Source organism: Homo sapiens, chromosome 9 (genome assembly GCF_000001405.40).
Source record: "Homo sapiens chromosome 9, GRCh38.p14 Primary Assembly".
Classification (NCBI taxonomy): domain Eukaryota; kingdom Metazoa; phylum Chordata; class Mammalia; order Primates; family Hominidae; genus Homo; species Homo sapiens.
This window is the reverse complement of record NC_000009.12, coordinates 73,779,691-73,789,923: the sequence shown is the minus strand read 5'-3', so window position 1 is coordinate 73,789,923 and position 10,233 is coordinate 73,779,691.

Here is a 10,233-nt window from a genome sequence, read left to right as displayed (position 1 = left end):
ACAAAAAAAATTGCAAAAACAAACCAAAAAGGCTAAAATATCAAAATGTTCTGTGAGATAATATTTAAAACAGATTTTCAATGGAGTATTTTATAAGTGATTTGAGTGTAGATGTGATTAAAAAACATAATTTTCTCAAATATAGTCATATGTTATAGCATCTCCTAAAATACTCCATAGATTTTTGTTAAAAATACAGTAAGAAATTCATAACAAAAAATAAAATTTTTCTTAGTAAGAACCTTCACAAAGTCATTAATATACAGATATTTATTATATTGCTTTTGATGATGCAAAAGAAGGAACACTTATATAAGCATGTTCCATACATATCCTGTAACTTTGTTTTCTTTTTCCCCCATTGTGAAATCTTAAGTTTATAATGCCCTATAGGATAGAGTTGGTTATCTTGGTTTAAAATATTGTACAACCACACGTATCTATAGAGACATAGGGACAATTACTAAAATATCTGAAATAATAAAACATGTCAAGAAAATAAAAGCACATAGAATTTATAAGGTCAGTATAAATGCCAATGTAGTTGTGATTTATCTATGTATGCAATTACTACCTTCATAGATTTAAAATCAGTTTAGAAAACAAGTTATTAAAATGAATTCCATTTGTGTTATGTGCAGAAAAGCTTAGAGTGGTAATAAAAATGCTTCAATAATCAGAATATTCTTGGTATTCAGCAGATATTTCTGTATATGTATTATTTGTTGTTTGTTTTTTTTTCTTTTTTAATTTTACTTTAAGTTCTGAGACACATGTGCAGAACGTGCAGGTTTGTTACATAGGTATGCAAGTGCCATGGTGGTTTGCCACACCCATCAACCCATCAGTTACATTAGGTATTTCTCCTAATGCTCTCCCTCCCCTAACCCTCACCCACAGACAGACCCTGGAGTGTGATGTTCCCCTCCCTGTGTCCATGTGTTCTCATTATTCAACTCCCACTTTTTACTGAGCAAATGTGGTGTTTGGTTTTCTTTTCCTGTGTTAGTTTGCTGAGAGTGATGGTTTACAGCTTTATTCATGTCCCCTGCAAAGGACATAAACTCATTACTTTTTATGGCTTCATAGTATTCCATGGTGTATATGTGCCACATATTTTTTATCCAGTCTATCATTGATGGGCATTTGGGTTGGTTCCAAGTCTTTGCTATTGTGAATAGTGCTGTAATAAACATATGTGTGCATGTGTCTTTACAGTAGAATAATTTATAATCCTTTGGGTATATACCCAGTAATGGGATTGCTGGGTCAAATGGTATTTCTGGTTCTAGGTCCTTGAGGAATCGCCACACTGTTTTCCACAATGATTGAACTAATTTACAATCCACCAACGGTGTAAAAGCATTCCTATTTCTCCACATCCTCTCCAGCATCTGTTGTTTTCTGACTTTTTAATGATCACCATTCTAACTGGTGTAAGGGTATCTCATTGTGGTTTTGATTTGCATTTCTCTAATGACCAGTGATGATGAGCTTTTTTTCATATGTTCGTTGGCCGCATAACTGTTTTCTTTTCAGTGGTGTCTGTTCATATCCTTCACCCACCTTTTGATGGGGTTGTTTGTTTTTTTCTTGTAAATTTGTTTAAGTTCCTTGTAGATTCTGGGTATTAGCCCTTTGTCAGATAAATAGATGGCAAAAATTTTCTCCCATTCTGTAGGTTGCCTGTTCACTCTGATAATAGTTTCTTTTGCTGTGCAGAAGCTCTTTAGTTTAATTAGATCCCATTTGTCAATTTTGGCTTTTGTTGTCACTGCTTTTGGTGTTTTTGTCATGAAGTGTTTGCCCATGCCTATGTCCTGAATGGTATTGCCTAAGATTCCTTTTAGGGTTTTCATGGTTTTAAGATTTATGTTTAAGTCTTTAATCCATCTGGAGTTAATTTTCGTATAAGGTATAAGGAAGGGGTCCAGGTTCAGTTTTCTGCATATGGCTAGTCAGTTTTCCCAGCACTATTTATTAAATAGGGAGTCCTTTCCCCATTGCCTGTTTTGGTCAGGTTTGTCAAAGATCAGATGATTGTAGAAGTGTGGCATTATTTCTGAGGCCTCTGTTCTATTCCACTGGTCTATATATCTGTTTTAATACCAGTACCATGCTGTTTTGGTTACTGTAGCCTTGTAGTATAGTTTGAAGTCACATAACATGATTCCTCCAGCTTTGTTCTTTTTGCTTAGGATTGTCTTGGCTATATGGGCTCTTTTTTGGTTACATATGAAATTTAAAGTAGTTTTTCTAATTCTGTGAGGAATGTAAATGGTAGCTTGATGGGGATAGCATTGAATCTATAAATTACTTTGGGCAGTATGACCATTTTCATGATATTGATTCTTTCTATCTATGAGCATGGAATGTTTTTCCATTTGTTTGGGTTCTCTCTTATTTCCTTGAGCAGTGGTTTATAGTTCTCCTTGAAGAGGTCCTTCACATCCCTTGTAAGTTGTATTCCTAGATATTTTATTTTCTTTGTAAAAATTGTAATTGGGAGTTCACTCATGATTTGGCTCTGTTTGTCTATTATTGGTGTATAGGAATGCTTGTGATTTTTGCACATTGATTTTGTATCCTGAGACTTTGCTGAAGTTGCTTATCAGCTTAAGGAGATTTGGGGCTGAGACAATGGAGTTTTCTAAATATACAATCATGCCATCTGCAAACAGAGACAATTTCACTTCCTCTCTTTGCATTTGAATACCCTTTATTTCTTTCTCTTGCCTGAATGCCCTAGCCAGAACTTCCAATAGTATATTGAATAGGAGTGATGAGAGAGGCCTCCTTGTCTTGTGCTGGTTTTCAAAGGGAGTGCTTCCAGCTTTTGCCCATTCAGTATGACATTGGCTCTGGGTTTGTCATAAATAGCTCTTATTATTTTGAGATACATTCCATCAATACCTAGTTTATTGAGAGTTTTTAGCATGAAGCGGTATTGAATTTTATTGAAGGCCTTTTCTGCATCTATTGAAATAATCATGCAGTTTTGTCATTGGTTCTGTTTATGTGATGGATTACATTTATTGATTTGCTTATGTTAAACCAGCCTTGCATCCCAGGGATGCAACCAACTTGATGGTGGTGGATGAGCTTCTTGATGTGCTGCTGGATTGGGTTTGCCAGTATTTTATTGATGATTTTCGCAACGATGTTCATCAGGGATATTGGCCTGAAATTTTCTTTTTTTGTTGTGTTTCTGCCAGGTTTTGGTATCAAGATGATGCTGGCCTCATAAAATGAGTTGGGAAGGAGTCCTTCTTTTTCTATTATTTGGAATAGTTTCAGAAGGAATGGTACCAGCTCCTCTTTGTACCTCTGGTAGAACTCAGCTGTGAATCCATCTGGTCCTGGGCTTTTTTTGGTTGGTAGGCTACTAATTACCACCTCATTTTCAGAACTTGTTATTGGCCTATTTAAGAATTCGACTTCTTCCTGGTTTAGTCTTGGGAGGGTGTATGTGTCCAGGAATTTACCCATTTCTTCTAGATTTTCTAGTTTATTTTCGTAGAGGTGTTTATTCTCTGATGGTAGTTGTATTTCTGTGGGATCAGTGGTGATATTCCCTTTTTCACTTTTTATTGTGTCTATTTGATTTTTCTCACTTTTCTTCTTTATTAGTTTAGCTAATGGTCTATCTATTTTGTTAATCTTTTTTAAAAAAACAGCTCCTGGATTCATTGATTTTTTTGAAGGGTTTTTCATGTCTCTTATCACCTTCAATTCTGCTCTGATCTTAGTTATTTCTTATCTTCTGCTAGCTTTTGAATTTGTTTGCTCTTGCTTCTGTAATTCTTTTGTGATGTTAGGGTGTCAATTTTAGATCTTTTCTGCTTTCTCCTGTGGGCATTTAGTGCTATGAATTTCCTTCTAAACACTGCTTTAGCTGTGTCCCAGAGATTCTGGTACCTTGTGTCTTTGTTCTCATTGGTTTCAAACAATTTATTTATTTCTGTCTTAATTTCATTATTTACCCAGTAGTCATTCAGGAGCAGGTTGTTCAGTTTCCGTGTAGTTGTGCGGTTTTGAGTGAGTTTCTTAATTCTGAGTTCTAATTTGATTGCACTGTGGTCTGAGAGACTGTTTGTTATAATTGCTGTTTTTGTTGTTGTTGTTGTTGTTTTGCATTTGCTGAAGAGCGTTTTACTTCCAATTATGTGGTTGATTTTAGAATAAGTGCAATGTGGTACTGAGAAGAATGTATATTCTGTTGATTTGGGGTGGAGAATTCTGTAGATGTCTATTCGGTCCACTTGGCCCAGAGTTGAATTCAAGTCCTGAATATCCTTGTTAATTCTCTGTCTTGTTGATCTGTCTAATATTGACAGTGGGGTTTTAAAGTCTCCCACTATTATTGTATGGGAGTCTAAGTCTCTTTGTAGGTCTCTAAGAACTTGCTTGATGAATCTGTGTGCTCCTGTATTAGGTACATATATATTTAAGATAGTTACCTCTTTTTGTTGCATTGATCCCTTACCATTATGCAATGCCCTTCTTTGTCTTTGGTTTATCTTTGTTGGTTTAAAGTCTGTTTTATCAGAGGCTAGGATTGCAACCTTGCTTTTTTTTATTTTTTATTGTTTTTGGCTTTTCATTTGCTTGGTAAATCTTCCTCCTTCCCTTTATTTTGAGCCTATGTGTGTCTTTCCACTTGAGATGGGTCTCCTGAATACAGCATACCGATAGGTTTTGACTCCTTATGAAATTTGCCAGTCTGTGCCTTTTAATTGGGGCATTTAGCCTGTCTACATTTAAGGTTAATATTGTTATGTGTGAATTTGATCCTGTCATTATGATGCTAATTGGTTATTTTGCCCATTAGTTGATGCAATTTCTTCATAGTGTCAATGGCCTTTACATTTTGGTTTGTTTTTTTAGTGGCTGGTAATGGTTTTTCCTTTCCATATTTAGTGCTTCCTTCAGGAACTTTTGTAAGGCAGGCCTAGTGGTGACAAAATCCATCAGCATTTGCTTGTCTGTAAAGAATTTTATTTCTCCTTCACTTGTGAAGCTTAGTTTGGTGGGATATTAAATTCTGGGTTGAAAATTATTTTCTTTAAGAATGTTGAATATTGCCCACCACTCTCTTCTGGCCTGTAGGGTTTCTGCAGAGAGTTCCACTGTTAGTCTGATGGGCTTCCCTTTGTGGGTAACCTGACCCTTCTCTCTTGCTGCCCTTAACGTTTTTTCCTTCATTTTAACCTTGGTGAATCTGACAGTTGTGTCTTGGGGCTGCACTTCTTGAGGAGTATCTTTGTGGTATTCTCTGTATTTCTTGAATTTGCAAGTTGGCCTGTCTTGCTAGGTTGGGAAAGTTCTCCTGGATAATATCCTGAAGAGTGTTTTCCAACTTGGTTCCATTCTCCTTGTCACTTTCAGGTACACCAATCAAACGTAGGCTTGATCTTTTCACATAATCCCATATTTCTTGGAGGCTTTACTCATTCCTTTTATTTTTTCTCTAATCTTGTCTTTATGCTTTATTTCATTAAGTTGATCTCCAATCTCTGATATCCTTTATTCCATTTAATCGATTCAGCTATTGATACTTGTGTATGCTTCACGAAATTCTCATGCTGTGTTTTTCAGCTCCATCATTTCATTTTTGTTCTTCTCTAAACTGGTTATTCTAGTTAGCCTCTAATCTTTTTCCAAGGTTCTTAGCTTCCTTGCATTGGTTTAGAACATGCTCTTTTAGCTCTGTGGAGTTTGTTATTACCCACCGTCTGAAGCCTACTTCTGTCAATTCATCAAACTCATTCTCCGTCCACTTTTGTTTCCTTGCTGGTGAAGAGTTGTGATCCTTTGGAGAAGAGGTGTTCTGGTTTTTGGAATTTTCAGCCTTATTGTGCTGGTTTTTCCTCATCTTCGTGTATTTATCTACCTTTGGTCTTCGCTGTTGGTGATCTTTGGATGGGGTTTTTGTGCAGACATCCTTTTTGTTGATGTTGATGCTATTCTTTTCTGTTTGTTAGTTTTCCTTCTAAGAGTCAGTCACCTCTGCTGCAGGTCTGCTGGAGTTTTCTGGAGGTCTACTCCAGACCCTGTTGGCTTGGGTATCACCAGTGGAGACTGCAGAACAGCAAAGATTGCTGCCCGTTTCTTCCTCTGGAAGCCTTGTCCCAGAGGGGCACCTGCCAGATGCCAGCCAGAGCTCTCCTGCATAAGGAGGCATGGGGGTCAGGGACCCACTTGAGGAGGCAGTCTGTCCCTTAGCAGAGCTCAAGCGCTGTGGTGGGAGATCCGCTGCTCTTTTCAAAGCTGGCAGGCTGGAACGTTTAAGTCTGCTGAAACTGCGCCTACAGTCGCCCCTTCCCCTAGGTGCTCTGTCACAGGGAGATTGGAGTTTTAGCTATAAGCCCCTGACTGGGACTGCTCCCTTTCTTTCAGAGATGCCCTGCCCAGAGAGGAGGAATCTAGACAGGCAGTCTGGCTATAGCGGCTTTGCTGAGCTGCGGTGGGCTCCAACCAGTCCAAACTTCCAGGTGGCTTTGTTTACACTGTGAGGGAAAACTGCCTACTCAAACCTCAGTAATGGCGGATGCCCCTCACCCTACCAAACTGGAGCATCCCAGGTCAGCTTCAGACTGCTGTGCTGGCAGCGTGAAATTTTAAGCCAGTGGTTCTTAGCTTGCTGGGTTCCATGAGGGTGGAATATGCTGAGTGGGATCCACTGAGCTAGACCACTTGGCTCCCTGGCTTCAGCTCCCTTTCCAGGGGAAATGCCTCACCGGCATTCCAGGCACCCATGGGGTATGAAACAAAACTCCTGCAGCTAGCTTGGTGTCTGCCCAAATGGCCACCCAGTTTTGTGCTTGAAACCCAGGGCCCTAGAGATGTGTAGGCACACGAGGGAATCTCCTGGTCTTTGGATTGTGAAGACCATGGGAAAAGCATAGTATCTTGACTGGAGTACACCATTTCTCTCGGCACAGTCCGTCACAGCTTCCCTTGGCTAGAGGAGGGATTCCCCAACCCCTTGTGCTTCTTGGGTGAGGAGACGTCCCACTCTGCTTCTGCTTGCCCTCCATGGGCTGCACCCACTCTCTAACCAGTCCCAATGAGATGAACTGGGTACCTCAGTTGGAAATGTGAAAATCACCCGCCTTCTGTGTTGATCTCTCTGGGAGCTGCAGACTGGAGCTGTTCCTATTTGGCCATTTTGCCAGCCACACCCTGTATATTTTTTTAATTGTCATTTTGCAAAATACTGTTTTAACAAAAAAATACATTAGTCCCCTCTTATCCATGAGGGATACATTCTGAGACCCCTAGTATATGCCTGAAACTGCAGATAGTACCGAACTCTATACATATCATGTTTTTTCCTACATATCCATATCCATATTAAAGTTTAATTTATAAATTAGGTACAGTAATCTTGGGCGTTAGGCCATTATTAAGTAAAATCGGTGTTGCTTGAACACAAGCACTGTGAGACAACGACAGTTTAACTGATAAGCTACAAGGCTACTGACTAACAGGCCAGTACATAGACAGGGTCTTATATGCTGGACAAAGAAACAGTTCACATCCTGGCTTGGATGCAATGGGACAGTGTGAGATTTCATCATACTACTCAGAATGTTGCACAATTTAAAACTTATGAATTGTTTATTTCCAACATTTTTTCATTTAATATTTTCAGATGGCAGTTTATGTGGGTAACTGAAACTGTAGAAAATAAAACCTCAGCTAAGGAGGGGGTTACTGTAGTGTCTACCTGCATGTTTTCTGGGTGCATTTGTGTATAATAAATTATAAATTGGTTTGACATATTAATTCCTATTATATTTTCAAGCATCACACCACCAACACAAGAAACATACATGACAATAGGGTTATTTTGGTATAGAAAATGATAGAAGGATAAAGCCTATAAATTAGTTGATTAAGCCTATGGTTGAATTGTGAATGAATTTTTACTTTATATTTCTGTAAAATGTTTAAATTTTTAAAAGCACAATTTTATGATGTTGTCCGATTAGAGCAACAACAAAAAAATCTAAGTGGTAGAAAATCCTAGTACACATAGCAAAGTTCACAAAGAATAAAGGTTATTCTCTCATTCCAAATACACACACACACACACACACACATGCTTATGCACACTTTAGCTTACAAGTTAAAAATACAATGAATAGTAAGATATTAAAAATTAGTAAATAAAGAAGAGAGAAGAGATGCCATCAATAAATGAAATATGAAAAATCTTCAGAAGTACTGAGAATACAGTAGTTCAGTCTTACAAATGGATAACATTAAGTGTTTATGCATAACTCAATGTTCTGAGAAAGAAAGGCAGTTTCAGGGAAAGCAGATGAGAGCCCCAGTGTTGATTGTAGATTTGCTTTAGTTGAAATTAACTTTTCTCTTTTACTTCTAGTTAAAATGATTAGACAATGTAAAATATGTATTTACCAGATGCTCTTGCAGTTGGGAGATTATAAAGGTGGAAGGGGGACAGACACATATAGTGGTAGCAGCTGATTGGCAAGTTACCCCAAAATCTCATGTTCTGGATTCAAGACTTGGTGGGAAGCAGTTATGCTGGGGTTTTTGGGAGTGGGGGAAATAGTGGTAGCAGCAGTAGCAGCAGCAGCATTTTTTTGACCTCTGAACTACAGCTAGCAAAGTGTGGTAGAGAAACTCAAAGTCTATTGGAACCCCCTTACTTTTTCTCTCCCAATTCTTTAGCAACAAATTCTCTGTAGTCCATTCCTTCAGCTGGAAATTCCTAGAGTGGGCCTTATGTCCTGCACTAAACCCAGGAACTGGAAATGTGAGTCATCCTAAGGTTTTGTGGCTTCCTAACTGAGGGCACAGAAATTGTGTAATAGAAACAAGTCATCCCTGCTGAGCTTGATCTGAATCCTGACCTGAGAAGAATCCATTAACATAATAAAATTCTTATACTAAACCACAAAGTTTTGGGGTGGTTTGTTATGAAACAGAAATTTCTGTTTCTTAGAACAAAAAATTGGTACCTGAACATAGTGTTCTCCTGTAATAAAAACTTAAAAATTTACCATTGGCTTTGGGCTGGGTGCCAGGCTGAAACTTGAAGGATCTTGAGGAATCTGTTACTGAAAGTTGTAAAAGGTTCAATGCAACTATTGATGAAGTCTGCAAAGACAGGGAGAAAAATTGTTTCTGAGAACTGAAAAAAGAAATAATCCTTATTAAGAAGGGGCAAAAAGTTTGCCACAACTCACCAATGTTGTGAAAAAGAGAAAATATATCAAATGCACATAGTTGATTAGAAGTACATTCTGAATGTGGAAAGTGCCAACTAATTTTTTAAACTGCTTATAATATCATATGGATAGAAAGAACCTTTCGATTCACAAGCAAAATTTGAGGAAACAAAGGATGTAGGACTATGTATTAGTTCTTTTTCACACTGCTGTAAAGACATACCCAACACTAAATAATTTATAAAAGAAAGAGGTTTAATAGACTCAGTTCTGCATGGTGGGGAGGCCTCAGGAAACTTACAATCATGGCAGAAGGGGAAGCAGGCACTTTTTTCACAAGTTGGCAGGAGGAAGAAGTGAATAAAGGAGGAACTTCCAAACACTTATGAAACCATCAGATCTCCTGAGAACTCACTCACTATCATGAGAACAGTATGGGGGAAACCACCTACATAATCCATTCACCTCCCACCAGATTCCTCCCTCAACATGTGGGGATTATGTGGATTACAATTCAATTTAAGATTTGATGAGAACACAGAGCCAAACCATATCATTCTGCCCCTGGCTCCTCACAAATCTCACATCATTTTTACATTTTCAAGACAATCATACTTTCCCAAGAGTCCCCCAAAGTCTTAACTCATTTCAGCATTAACCCAAAAGTCCAAAGTCCAAACTCTCATCTGAGACAAGGCAAGTTACTTTCACCATGAGCCTGTAAAATCAAAAACAACTTAGTTCCTTGCAAGATGCAATGGAGGTACAGGCATTGGGTAAATACACCTGTTCTAAATGGGGGAAATTGGCCAAAACAAAGGGGTTATAGAATCCATGCAAGTCTGAAATCCAGTGGGGCATTCAATAAATCTTTTCTGTTGCATCATCAGGCTGCAAATTTTCCAAACTTTTATGCTCTGTCATGTCTTGAATGCTTTGCTGTTCAGAAATTTCTTCCATGAGATATCCTAAATCTCTTTGAAGTTCAAAGTTCCACAGATCTCTAGGTCAGGGGCAAAATCCCACC